The following is a 14,961-nucleotide window of genomic DNA, read 5'->3' on the forward strand; positions in this document are numbered from 1 at the left end:
ATGACACAAGCAAATCAAAAATCAAAATACATCCCATGCTCATGGATTAGAAGAATCAATATCATGAAAATTACCATAGTGCTCCAAAACAATCTACAGAGTCAATGCAATTCCTATCAAAATACCAACATAAATTTTCACAGAATTAAAAAAATTCCTAAAATTCATATGGAACCAAAAAAGAGCCTGAAGAGCCAAAGCAATCTTAAGCAAAAAGAACAAATCTGAAGACATCACATTGCCAGACTTCAAATTATAAAGGCTCTAGTTACTGAAACAGTATTATACTGGTATAAAAGTAGACATGGACCAATGGAACAGAATATAGAAACCAGAAATAAAGCCAAATACTTACAACCAAAGACTTACAATCTTTTTGACAAAGCATAAAAAAATCATATATTGAGGACACCCTATCTAATAAATGGTGCTGGGAAAACTGGATAGCCACATGTAGAAGAATAAAACTGGATCCCTATCTTTCAACTTACACAAAAATCAACTCAGGATGGATCAAAGACTTAAATCTAAGGCCTGAAATCATAAAAATTCTAGAAGATAACCTAGGAAAAACTTTTCTAGACATTGGCCTGGCCAAAGAATTCATGACTAAAACCCCAAAAGCAAATGTTACTAAAACAAACAAATAAATGGAACCTGATTAAATTAAAAAGTTTCTATACTGTGAAAGAAATAATCATCAAAATAAACAGACAACCCACAGAATGGGAGAAAATATTTGTAAACTCTACATCCAAGAAAGGACTAATATTCAGAATCTACAAGAAACTCAAATAAATCAGCAAGAAAAAAATTCAACAATCCCATCAAAAAGTGGGCAAGCGACATTAACACACAGTTTTCCAAAGAAGATACACAAATTGGCCAACAAACATGAAAAAATGCTCAACATCACTAATCATCCCTATCTTTCACCTTATACAAAATTCAAGGAAATGCAAATTAAAACCGTCTTACTCCTGCAAGAAAGACCATTACTAAAAAGTCAAAAAACAGTAGGTGTTGGCATGGTGGGATGAAAAGGGAAAACTTATACATTGTTGGTGGGAATATAAGTTGTTAGTACAAACCACATGGAAAACAGTATGGAGATTTCTTAAAGAACTAAAAGTAGATCTATCATTTGATTCAGGAATCCCACTACTGGGTATCTATCCAAAGTAAAAGAAGTCATTATATCAAAAGGACACCTGCATGCCTTTGTTTATTGCAGAACAATTCACAATTGCAAAGATATGGAACCAACCTAATTGCCCATCAACCAATGAGTGGATAAAGAAAATGTGGTATGCATACGCTATGGAATACTACCCAGCCATAAAAAAGAAGAAAATAATCTCTTTTGCAGCAACTTGGATGGAGCTGGAGGCTATTGTTCCTTTTCTCTTTTTCCTTTTTTTTTTTTTTTTTTTGAAATGGCGTTTCACTCTTTATGCCCAGGCTAGAGTGCAGTGGTGCAACCAGGTTCAAGTGATTCTCCTGCCTCAGCCTCCCAAGTTGCTGGGATTACAGGCGCATGCCACGACGCCTGGCTAATTTTGTAGTTTTTAGTAGAGACGGTGTTTCACCATGTTGGCCAGGCTGGTCTCGAACTCCTGACCTCAGGCATTGGTCTCCCAAAGTGCTGGGATAATAGGCATGAGCCACTGCACCCAGCCTGGAGGCTATTGTTCTATGTTCTATGCAAAGTAGCTCAGGGATGAAAAACCAAATACTATATATTCTCATATAAGTGGGAGCTAAGCTATGGGTACATAAAGGCATACAGAATGATATAATGGACTTTGGAGACTCAGAAGGTGGGAGGGTGAGAGGGGAGTGAGGGATAAAAACTAAATATTGAGTACAATGTGCACTAGTCACGTGAAAGGTGCACCAAAATCTCAAACTTCACCACTATAAAATTCATCCGTATAACCAAAAACCACATGTACCCCTAAAGCTATTGAAATAAATAAATAAATAATAAAAATCCCTCCAAAATAGTATTACATTGACTTGAGAATAGCTCCATAAAAGTGCATACTTTAAGAAAAAATACTACGTATTTTAAAAATAATACATTCACGTAGTGAAGATTTTGATAATACAAAAGGAACACAGCAAAAGTATGTCTCCTTTCCATTCCCATCTTCCAGTTCCTCTTCCCAGAGATAACACTCTCATCACTTTCGCGTTTCCATCTATACATAATATCCTCTCCCCAACCTTTAAATTATAATTAGCACATTATTCTGTACCTCATTTCTTTGGAAGTGTTACAGTTTATGTGGGTCTTAACAGACAAATCAAGATTTGCTAGATGAGACAGTCTAGGCAGGGCAAGGAGCATGTGCAAAGGTGTAGAGGGAACAGGAATGCTCCCGTATCAAAGACGGGGTAGTTCTGAGTGGCTGGAGCATGGGTGATTAGAGAAAAGGCAGGAAAGTTCTGTCTAGTTACCTCCAAAGTGAATGTATAGACTAATGAAGCAGAAAGTCTGCAGACCCACACCATGTAAGAAATTGGTCATTTGCTAAAGGTGAGACTTCAAATTAGTGTCAGGGAAAAGATGGATTATTCAATAAGTAATGTTAGGGCAATGTTAAGGCTCTCTGAAAAGAAGTTTAATCCTTTCTCCATATCACACCTCAAAAAGTTCAAAGATTTCAAAAAGAAGCCATAACAATAGAGAGTACAACATGGGAGAATCCCTTTATAACTTTGGAGTAAAAAGGCTTTTTAAATTATGACTGAAGTCCAAAGATTATAATAGGAAATTAAGGTAAATGTATAGAAAAATAACTTTTAAAACATCTAAGTTGAAACAAAATCAACACAAAAATTCAGCGAAAAACAAAAAACTAGGAAAATTATTTCATGTCAACCAAATAGCTAATTGCTCTAATGTGTAAAGAAGTTCTACAACATAGTTTAAAACTATAATAAAAAAGAATTTGAATAGAGTTTATAAAAATAAATGGCTCTTAAACATATGAAAAAGTACATAACCTCACTCAATATAAAAGTAAATTAAAACCACATAAAGATACCATAATTTAAAAAAGTATGTAATCAAAATTCCAGATTTTCCCAAACAGAAACTTACCAGCATTTTGTTTTCAAGATGGTGGGAGGCCAGGTGCTGTGGCTCCCACCTGCAGTCCCAGCTTTTTGGGAGGCTGAGGTGGAAGGATGCTTGAGCCGGTGAGTTCAAGTCCAGCCTGGGCAACATGGTGAGACTCATCTCTACAAAAAAATAGAAATAAATTAGCCAGGCGTGGTGGTGCACATCTGTAATCCCAGCTACTCTGGAGGTTGAGGTGGGAGGATTGCTTAAGCCCAGGAGGTGGAGGCTTCAGTGAGGTCATTCATGCCGCTTCAGTCCAGCCTGGGCTACAAAGCTGGACCTTGTCTCAAAAAAGAAAAAAAAAAAAAGACTAGGAAATAGGTAATTTAATATATTGCTGATAGTAGTGTAAATTAATGCATCTATGGAAGAAAGTTTAACATTATCTTTCAAAATGACTAATGCATATATTCTTTGACCAAGCAATCCCACTTATGGAGGTTTTTCCTACAGATAAACTTGCACACATGTAAAGTCATATATGTTCAAGGTCATTGACTGTAGCATTATTTTTTATAGGAAAAGATTGGTATCAACCCAAATGTCCACCAACAGTGGACTGGTTAAATTAATAATGGTATATCTATGTGATGGAATAACATGTAAGAGAATTTTAAAAAATGGAATGAACTCTCCATGTATCAACATGGCTAAAGTTCTGAGGTACGTGTAGTGAAAAAAAGCAATGTACTGAACAGTGTGCATAATGTGCTACCTCTTCAAGGGAGAAAATATAAGTGCATATTCTGTATTGCACAAGGAAACTCTGGAATTATACAAAGAAACTAATAAAAATTGTACTGTGAAAGGCTGTGGAAACTGACAAATGGGAACAGTAGTAGAAGCAAGTGCTCTCACCATACCTGTTTTAATGTTTGATGTTTGAATTATGAAGATGTATTAATCATCTAATAATTTTTTAAAAGCATCTGCCTCTATCTTTGCACTACTTCAATGATTAGCCATTTATTAATTGCAAGCAGTGGGGTTTTGCACTGGCTTATTTTTTCTTTTGCCTGTGGCTTTTGTTTGTAAGATTTCATCCACGAGTAAAATCACTAAGCAAGCCTTGCCCATAGCGTTCAGCATGTGTTGAAATACAGGGGAGAACTGACAATCACAGGGAGAATGGTATTTTTGATGTATTCTCTACTCTGTGGTCAAAGAGGTGGCCGGATACCTGCCAGGAGTGGAAGGAAGGTCCAGAACATTGAAATAATTCAGTTCTCATTCAAGGTCAGAATGCATTTGCTTTGGCCGGGCGTGGTGGCTCACGCCTGTAATCCTGCACTTTGGGAGGCCGAGGTGGGCGGATCACGAGGTTAGGAGATCGAGACCATCCTGGCTAACACGGTGAAACCCGTGAAACCCCGTCTCTACTAAAAATAAAAAAAATTAGCCAGGCGAGGTGGCCGGCACCTGTAGTCCCAGCTACTGAGGGAGGCTGAGGCAGGAGAATGGCGTGAACCCAGGAGGCGGAGCTTGCAGTGAGCCGAGATCACGCCACTGCACTCCAGCCTGGGCGACAGAGCGACACTCTGTCTCAAAGAAAAAAAAAAAAAAGAAACAAAGAATGCATTTGCTTTAAAGATGGAGCTAAGTATTCCTGGAACAAACACCGGGAAATAACCATGGGAAGAGGATTAAAACGGAAAAAGAAGTGACTTGAAGGAAATGAGATGGGAGAATGAGATGCCAAAATTAGCACCTACATGCAAAGGGGCAGGTAGACAGGATCCAGGGTTGTACAAGGAAACTACTCAGCTGAAGGATAACCAGGAAGGGAAGGGAGGAGACTCATTATCAGGGAAATGTGAATAACAAGAGGCTGTTCAAACTGATGTAACTAAGGGTCATGACTAAGAAATATCCCAAAGATCCTCTAGAGTAGAACTACAACATTAGAGTTGCATATTGAGATCTGTTTGACATTCAAGGAAGCCAAACCTAAAGTTGTGAAGAGAACAATCTAGGGTCACACAGAAACCGTGTCTGAGACTTCTAGCCTAGCATTTTTTTTTCTTTCTCTCTTGTTTATTTTCATGCAGCATCTCTTGTTAATGCTCAATTTGATTTAGTTTCAAGACTCTCATTTTAACATGAATAATCACTGTTGACTGTTGCCAGAAAACAGAAGAGTGGGAAAGAAAGAGAGATAGAGAGAAAAAGGTATATAGAGAGATGTTAAATCTTGTAAATGAAAGTACATTGATAACAGCAACTAGCAGACCTACATATGAACCAAACAAGCAAAAAATGTCATTCCTGCTGTAAGTGGGCCCAGCCAAGCTGTTCTGAGCAGTGAAGGTCAAAAGTTCCATGACCACAGCTCTGCATCTCTCTCAATACAAGGCTTTTTGTTAAATGGTGGCAAAGCATTTTTAAAAATCATCCTTTCTTACCATCTATAAACCATAAAAAAAGAAATTTTTCCCTTTAGGGCCTTTAGCCATATTATGCTTTCTTGCAGATATCTCATAAAAAACTCCCCCAGAATAGCCCTCAGTATGTTCTTTTTAAGGCACAGTTCTTCCCTTAAATTGTTATTTAATCAGTAAATATTCTTATTCTTCACATAAGTTTTTCTCTGTGGTGGGCTAGGAAGTGCTTGAATTTTTACTCTAGAAAATTGTTTTCTCACAGTTCCTGGACCCACATCACATAAATGTTCATATAAAAAAATTCACAACTTTTAAATGTGATTTAGCAATAAAATTGAGTCTCTGTTAACACTGACCAATTCCAAAGAGTTGTAACACAGATCATTCTGCTTATTTTTGCCTTAAGTCTCAAGGGGGGGGCGGGGGGAAAGCAAAAAAGGAGGCTACTCTCCTTAGGAAGAAAGGGAATCCTAATTTCCTATTCAAAGAAATATTTAACATTCCATGTTTTTTAACTTCCAAATACCTCCAGTAATCAAGGGTGCTTTACAGGTGAATAATCAGGGCTTTAAGGCAGAATTATACTCTTCCTGGCCTGGAAGAAGATGAAGCTCTAAGGTAACACAGAGACTCAAAAGAAAAAACAGAAAACAACTCTCTACCCTTTTGGAAATGTAAACAATCAGGTAAATAATAACTAAAGCTCTAATTTTTTACTCATATTCTGATTTAAAATTTAGTCCTTCCCAAGTTTGTACTGTCTCTCGATTTTGTTTTGTTTTCACAGGCTTACCAAAAAAATTGATTCTGATCACTGTAGACCGACCCTCCATAAACCCTCTTTCTATGGGAAACTGTAATAAGGATTGTGGACTTTCACTGTCTCTGATGATATAAAATTACCTTTTTAAAAATTACCAGAAGAAAACATACAACTAAGACCTTCTCCCTGTTAATCTGTTAGGGTTCATCTTTTCTGCTTCCTAAGCTTGATGGTAGCTCTCTAAATTAAGTGATAACATAGATATGGTGTGTGAACTGTGCACTTACAGAATCTTAGAAATGTTTCATACTTCCAAGGATTTTGGTTTTTTAAAAATTTTAAATATGAGACAGTCTGTGCCAGGAGCTATTGGGAAAACAGCTCTTTCTGTGTTTGGCCTGTTCCTCTCTGCCCACAACATTCCTCCACACCCCTCGCACTTTACATCCTCACATTCCCATGCTGTGTGTCTATGACAAGCCTCTGAGAGTCTGGGAATCACGGTGTTTATGGGTAAAGCAAGAAGGCCAGGGAAGGAGTGACAAGAAATAGATCAGGATTTTCAGAGATCTACTTGCCAGAGCCAGGTGTGGTAGTGCACAGCTGTTATCCCAGTTACGTGGCAGGCCAAAGCAGGAGGGTCCCTTTACTCCAGGAATTTGAGGTAGCAGTGTGCTGTGATCATGCCTGTGAATAGCCACTACACTCCAGCTTGGGCAACATAACAAGACCCTTGTCTCTTAAAAAAAGTCTATTTGCTAACATGCCACTAATTCTGCAAGATTTATAATAATAGCTACCAATTATTATGAGCCTACGATAAGCCAAACATTCACAAGACATTTAATCCTCAGAATAACCCTGTGAAGTTGGTACTCCTTTTCCATTTTACACATGTAGGAAATGGGGTTCTTATTGCCTAGGGAAACTCTCCAAACAAAAATAAACAAAAAGCAAGCTAGTTGGAATCAGAGTTAGGATTTGAGCCTGTGTTTACCAGAGTCCAAACTCCTGCTCTTTCTGCTATTAGCCTACTCATGATCTAAAGCCTAACTAAGGCTTCTTGGATTCTAAAGGGATTTTTATGGTCCTGTGGTTCTATTTCAGGTTAACATGGAAATCTCTTCCTTGAGTGCTTCAAAAAAGGTTAAATTTTATGAGATACACTTTAGTGATGAATATACTTTATCTTATCCTATTAAAATAATTAATATTAGGAATAGAAGGTTGAATAGAAACCAGAGTATTACATTAGCTGGAATATCACACTTCTCAATAATTATGTATAAATGAAAGTTCACTCTTCCATTCATTATCACTCATCCACCTACTTATCCATCCATCCACGTGTCCATCCATGTATCCATCCATCCATCCATCCATCCATCCATCCATCCATCCATCGACTTAACAAATTGAGAACTACTATGGGCTAGTTGCTATTCTAGGCCCATAGAAAGGAGGTAAAAAGAGGCCGGGCACAGTGGCTCATGCCTGTAATCCCAGCACTTTGGGAGGCTGAGGCGGGTGGATCACTTGAGGTCAGGAGTTTGAGACCAGCCTGGTCAACATGGTGAAACCCTGTCTCTATTAAAAATACAAAAATTAGCTGGGTGTGGTGGCACACACCTGTAATCACAGGTACTTGGGAAGCAGAGGCAGGAGAATCGCTTAAAACTGGGAGGCAGAGGTTGCAGTGAGCCGACATTGCTCCACTGCACTCTAGCCTGGGTGACAGAGCAAGACTCTGTCTAAAAAAAAATAAAAAATAAAAATAAAATAAAAAATAATAAAAAAAAGAAATGGAGGTAAAAAGTCAGAGCTTTCTTTTGCTCTCAAAGATTATATTCTAGATCAGCACTGTTCAACAGAACTTTCTGTGAGACAAAAGTGTTTTATATCTGTGCTATTGAGAAAAACTGAGGAATGGAATTTGCAATTGTATTTAATTTTTGTTTTAATTAATTTAAACTTAAGTAACAGCATGTCATTACTGTCCTGGACATCACAGTTCTAGAAGGTTTAAGGAGGTGAGAAGACAGAAAATAAATTAAATTTTTAGTTTTAATTTTATGGATATATAATATTTTACATATTTTTGGGGTACATGTGAGGATTTTCTTCATGCATAGACTGTGTAATGATCAAGTCAGGCTATTTGGAGTATCTATCACCTCGAGTATCTATCATTTCTATGGGCTGATAACATTTTAAGTCCTCTCTTCTAGTTTGAAATATACAAATATTGTTGCTAACTATGGTCACTATTCTTCTATGAAGCATTAGAACTTATTTCTTCTCTAACTGTAAGTTTGTATGCTGAATCTTGAGTGAAAATAAGGAGTCAGACATGCCAAGAGCAAAGGAAGAACACTGTAGGCCTAGAGAAGTATGTCAAAAGCCCTAAGAAGAGAAAGACTTTGGTGTGTTCACGTTTCAGAGAGTGGATCAGTGTTGGTTAGATTGCAGTGAGCAGGGAGGTAATGGGCATACAATGCTGCTGGAAGGTAGGAGAGGCCAGATAATGTGGAGTTGTTTAGCTTGTAGCAAAGGGTATGGATTTAATTCTAATTGAAATCTCAATCTATAGATAACCTTTTAAGAATTGCATTGTCCTATAAAATATTGGTATCCAAAGTTGAATTACTTAATGATGAAGTGGGTGATAATATGGAGCTTTACTCTTTTTAAAAGCTTTATCTACAGTTTAGTTCAGAACATGCCTATATTAAAGAACTACTGATGGTTATGAAATTGTCTTGAAGATTCAAAGATAAGTATTTTCGAGATATGGGCATTGAAGATGGCAAACAACCTACTGACATAGGATATCCAAAGAGGGAGTGAGCGAATCAAGACATTTCATTTTAAGTCTTCTGGTGAAAATAATTTTTACTATCTCTCAGGACTGATTTGCTTTGGAATACAGATGGGAAAACTCTTTTCTAGATGTGGCATGGTTTGTCATCCTCTGAAAATATGACTCTTTATACAATTGGTCTATAGCCAGTTTTTAGTGGAAAAGTCGTGACATCAGAATGCTCATGAGCCATAGCAGAGAGTCCCAGACTTCCTTATTAATTCTGAAAATGGTTCTTTAAGTGAGACTGGGTTTAAAATATGTTAGTGTCTTTGAATTTACCAGAAGATCTGAGCTACTGGTGCAAATCAATTCAACATAGTACCTCTCAGGGGTCACAAATCACTTGGGCCAGCTCGTGAAAAGGAGGGTCATGGTAACCTAGTCTCCAGAGAAACTACATTACCTACCATTTTTCTTGCCAGAAAAAGCATAATTTATACTTTTAACATTATTAGTTGAAAAATAATGCAAACAAATTATGTAGCATAAAATTGTGGGAAAAAAATTGATAGTTACCAGAATAAGCAAATTGCTAAATTATGTAGACGATCTAGATTACAAAGCCCTACAACCTGCTTTACTGTAGAATTTGAAGTCATCAGCTTATAATATTGAACATCTACTTCAAACACAGAGTTTTAAGACTTACAAATTTCTATTTTTAAACGATGTAAACTTTTCAATATTCGTAGGGTAGTAATTATTGTTTTGTGTTACTATTTTAAAAATACAAGCAACAAAAATGCAAGACTAAACTGTCAAAAAATACCAAAGTTTCAAGTTCGTATTTAGCAAAAGTCTTTTCTTATAATAGAGGGTCATTTTGTACATGAAGTGCAAGGGAGAATGAAAAGACACAGAAAGAGAGAAAGGCAGAGAGAGAGAGAGAGAGAAATCCTTTTTCATCCTTACCAAATTAGCTTGTGTTTATAAAGATGTCAAACCTTCATTTTACCCAATAAAACATTTTTGGTGTGGAAATGATGTTCCCCTCGTGAATTTGCATAAAAGTAAAATGATTTTTAAAATCCAGCTTTGTAAACCAATGTGGAACTATGATTGTTTTAAACCTTTAAACCAAAAGCAAGGCATGGTTTTTGTCTTAAATTTAGAATAAATTGAAAGCATACATTGATGTTCTTTGTTTCAAATACATTTTGGAACCCAGCAGACCACATTCAACCTAGTTAAATTATCTGAATGGATTTGGGGAAAAGAGAAAGGAGCCTGTTCATTTTAATATACCTTCAGAAATATTTTACTTCTTGATGATGACAGCAGCTCTTGCTGACAACTATTAATACATTATAAACACCCCATCAGAGTTATATAAAAACATGTCAGTTTTAAAGAGAACATCTTTGACAGCAAATTTTCTGATTGTGAAACAGCTGTGCCTTCAGTACAATGCATTAAGTAGTTTATTCCTTTTAGATAGTTAAATTGTGCATGAAATGTTGCTGGCGCAAGGGCTCCAAATCTGGCCTGATTAGCGAACATCTGTTACATTGGAAAAATTCATGTCTACCCTAATTAGCTGTCAGGCTGATGTACATCAGGCCTGATGGTGAGGGATCCTGCGCTGTTTAAGTCAAACAGGTTCCTCTCCTCTCCTGTCACCTGCCCTTTCAAATCTCTTCCTTTCATGGGCTGCTGTAATTAGAGATAGTTGGACACACAATGGAGCAGGCTACGGTCAGTTACAGTCCCATCTGTGCAATATTTTTATTCCCACCAAACTTGGGAACCGATATATGAAGTAGTTCAACAGCAGCAAGGCTGTTAGATCTGTTAGGTCTATGACATTTGTTAATCTTGGCTCAAGATCGTTCTCTGAAAGTCTTAGGATCCTGGAGTCATCATCTTGTGGTGACTGAAGGGTAATCTACAGCTTCTGAGGAATTGATCTTTGTTTCATTTGTTTTAAATAGGGATAGCGCTCAGGTGATTTTGAAATGTCGCAGTGTGCTGTAGAATGGCATGTTACTGTAAGATCAGGTATTCAAAAGAAAAAGAAGCTCAGTGTTCTGCAGTGTCCAGACAACTGACTATAGACAGCTACAGGAGGCAACTGACACCAAAAGATCTGATTTTATTGGGTTTATTAGTCCAGTGTACACAAGGTTTTCCAATGTAAATAAAAACTTTCATTGACCTGTGGATGGGTACATATCATAACTTCCTGTTTGAACTGTTTACCTTTTTAGCAAACTGGAATGTGCGGTTTGATGCTTGAGCTGGTTAAATCTTCATTTGTTCAGTAACAGCCTTTCCTGAAAGAGCTAGAGGGCCTGGGGCCAAATTCAGACTCAACCTGAAAGATTAAGAATATATAAAATTACAACATTAGGTTTTATTAGAGTGTGATTTGACCAAGGAAGAATGAAAAACCAGCCTTTTTCTAACTTTGTATCATCCTTTCAAGATAATTCAAGTACAGGATTGTTATTCCCAAGCATACATGAGGTATAATTACAATGTACGCAAAATTTAGTAATTGAGGACATGCTTTATGAAATGCTTGATGCATGAAGTTATAAACAGGGAAACTCATTTACCCAGAGCATGCAGGATTTTTAGGTGAACTCAAGCACGATCTCGTTTAGAATTCTGAATGCTCTTGTTACAGCACTCCAACCAAACTGGACTTGAGCTGTCTAACCTAGGCGAGGTTCTTTCCTCCCTCCTTCTGTTTCTTCCTTCCTTCTTATGCTTTTCCTTTCACCTCGAAGTACTTCCCCTGTCTATCCAAAGCTTACCGAATTAAACATTTAAGTATGATCTCAAACATCAAATATTCCATACCACTATCAACTTGGTTTAAAGGAAAGGGCAAAGTTTATCAAAACCATTGCGTTCTGTACTATGGTTTCACATGCATTATCTACCTCTTCTACCAACCATGGTGTTTTCATTTCTTTTATGGCACTTGTCTTTTATAAACTTTTATTTAAATATTTGTTTGCTATAGGGTACCCCTTATCTTTTATACTAGACTGTAAGCTCTTTGAAGAGAGCGACAATGATTATATATATATATATATATATATATATCCCCCATAAAGCATAGTCCATAATAGGTGCTCAAAAAGGTTTGTTGAGTAAATAGAATTCGACTCAGATCAGAGCTATTGAAACATAGTGATACGCCTCCAGGGGAATGTGACCATTTTGACTAAGCTCTAGTGAATTACAGGGCCCCATGGCCATCTCCAGCTGCCCGGAGACAGCCACCACAGGCTAGTTAGGGGCCACTAGAGGCTGGTTTAGAGATGTAAGGTATCTTGCAGGTATGAGGTGTTCTTGGGAATGTTCACCAGCATTCCACTAAAGTAAAGAATGGCCTAACTCCTCTCCACAGAGCCAGCAAGCGTTCCTGAAGCATTCAGAATTGTCTAATTTCACCAAATGAATGATCCCTGAGGGATACCATGGATCCTGCTGGTCTAGGATTGGCTCCAGCTTTTTCTGGATCTGCATTTGCTGTGCAACCCTGCTCGGGGGCTGAGAGATGCTCTGGAGCTGTCTAGGCTGTGAGTCTGACTTCCTCCCCACTTCCCTCTCTGCTTTTCTACGACATCCTCTATGGTCTTCTACACTGGTTTCTAGGTTTATCAAGAATGAAGAATGTAGAAAATTCTTCCTTCTTAATTTTCTGCTTAATTTTGTGGAATTGCTTACAGAAACTAAGCAATTTACATTGTTTTAAACACATGCAAAACCTTCAAATTTTGTTCATTCTAGCTTGAAAAGTACTTTGTAATAATTGACCAAGAGACGATGAATTGCAATGTGATTTCATCCTGGCTTGAAAAATACCTTTTGAGGGATTTTTTTCTTTTTGATGATAATATTAAAAGTTTCCTGAATTTTATGGCACATTTTCAAATGTTTTAATACAGATCTCCTCATTTGAATAGAGTAGCTATTTTTCATTTTTATCCATAGAAAACAACACAAACATAGATCATCTTGGATGCTTACCAGGTTAGATTTTCTGATCATCATCATCATTCACAATAAAAACAACTACAGTCATAATAACCAATGATTTTTATTTAAACATCTAGTATATGCTACTTCTAATGCAATATTTTTACTGCTCATAAACATTTCTGTAAGATTTTATTATCTCCATTTTACAGATGACAAAATTTGGACTCAGATTACGTGATTTGCCTTTGGCTACACAGCTAATAAGTATGAGAGCCAAAATTCAACCCATATTTTACCCCAAAGTGGTTGCACAACTGCCATTCGAGAAACTTTTTTTATATTTTTAAGTGCTTATGATTTTTAAATAAATATCATTATTTCATTGTCTTCTTAAAATACTTTGAGGGCTAAAAAACTTCTATTTGGCTAAGTGGCATTGCTCCCGAAGGGGTGCTATGATTTTTATGCATTTTGCCTGCTTGATGGTAGCAAGTGCAGTTGAGTAGTTTTACAAGAATTTACATCATCTTTTACTCATGTTATTATATTTGATGGGGCAAGTCTAATTAATGTAAATACGTAGTTCAACCCAAACTAGTAAAGACTCTGAATCCTCCTCTCTGGGAAACTTTATCTTTAAAATCCAAGTCTCTGAGGTGTGAATTCCATTAAATTCTAATTTATCTGTGAGGAATTAGGACTACAATAGTGACTTTGAAATACTTTTGATGATTCTAACACTATATGCTTTATGGTTAATACAGTTGCTGTGTGTGATTTTGACTAACTTAATAAATAAATTTGAAAGGCTTTTTCTGCAGTTAATAAAGAGTGATACAACAAAAATATTTACTATGCACTATGCCAGCAACTAAATTAACCAGTAATAATTGTTTTCGGTGGTACCAATCAAAGGCTGAGAAAAGAAAATCCCTCAGGTCATTATATTTATCAAAATTAACTATGGTTTCTGCCCATCCTCTTGTGTATCACTCCTTTAAACATCCTGAGTCACACACACACATACTTAAACACACACACATGCACACACGGGGGTGTGGGGAGCTAATTCTCAATGTTTGTTTCTCTGGAAGCGATCTTGCAAACTTTTGAGTGTTTTGTACTGGTGAGATAGCAAATCTCTTATTGCTATTCCTAGCCTATAATTTACTCTCAAGACCGCTGATGCCATCCTTCCATGGAAGCATCCCTGTCATATTGTGGATGGCAACAAAAGGTCACTCCCTTCATGTAGCGACTTGTTCTTGGAGTCTGTCAGAGAACAGTTAGAAAATGCATGCATTTCTTCAGAAAATGGTTGCACACAGGCCACCTAAATCCAGAGAGAGAATTATTACATCCTTCTGTAAGCTTCACATTACAGAAAATGTAAACCCTTCTAAAAGGACTATGCCGCTCCCACAGAGGCTAACCCCTCTACTTTCAGCCAAGTAATGGACTTGTTTCTGAAGAGCCAACATGGCCAACATTGGGCCATAGTCCCCTGGACAATGCCCTCATTGCTTAGGGATAACCCTCATTGAGTGATTTAGATAATACTCTCTGAGACGCCAGCGGTAGGGAAATGCTTGCTGATGTTCTTCAAGATGATCATGAGAAGAGGCAGCCGATAAAACTCTTTCCCGGAGTTGATACTGTTGTTTGGTACAAAGTAGCAGTGAGAAAAGTATGTGAGGGAAGTACCCCTTGACAGAATGAAGCACCATATTAGCAATGATTTGAGAGGGCATCTCAAGAAGAATCCCAGAGTCATGTGTCACCACAATACTTTGGGTCCCATTGTTACAGACAAATCTGAATGCTACACGTCAACTCTGAATTCCCTTTTGAGAAATTATTTTCTGTAGACCAGAAGGAATCAAAGATG

General features: G+C 37.2%; 1 long non-coding RNA gene across 1 annotated transcript in view, besides 1 other annotated feature; it reads left to right on the forward strand.

Annotated features, from left to right (window-relative positions):
• Window positions 1–14,961, forward strand: part of LINC01162 (long intergenic non-protein coding RNA 1162) — a 187,718-nt gene that overhangs the window by 112,751 nt on the left and 60,006 nt on the right. The gene's annotated exons all lie outside the window — the stretch shown is intronic.
• Window positions 9,868–11,302: an enhancer, noted in NCBI's record as "VISTA enhancer hs1007". NCBI's record gives its function as "enhancer in: forebrain[3/3] | facial mesenchyme[3/3]" and the evidence as "EXISTENCE:transgenic organism evidence [ECO:0001131][PMID:17130149]".

The sequence above is a fragment of the Homo sapiens genome, chromosome 7 (genome assembly GCF_000001405.40).
Source record: "Homo sapiens chromosome 7, GRCh38.p14 Primary Assembly".
NCBI classification, from domain to species: Eukaryota; Metazoa; Chordata; class Mammalia; order Primates; family Hominidae; genus Homo; species Homo sapiens.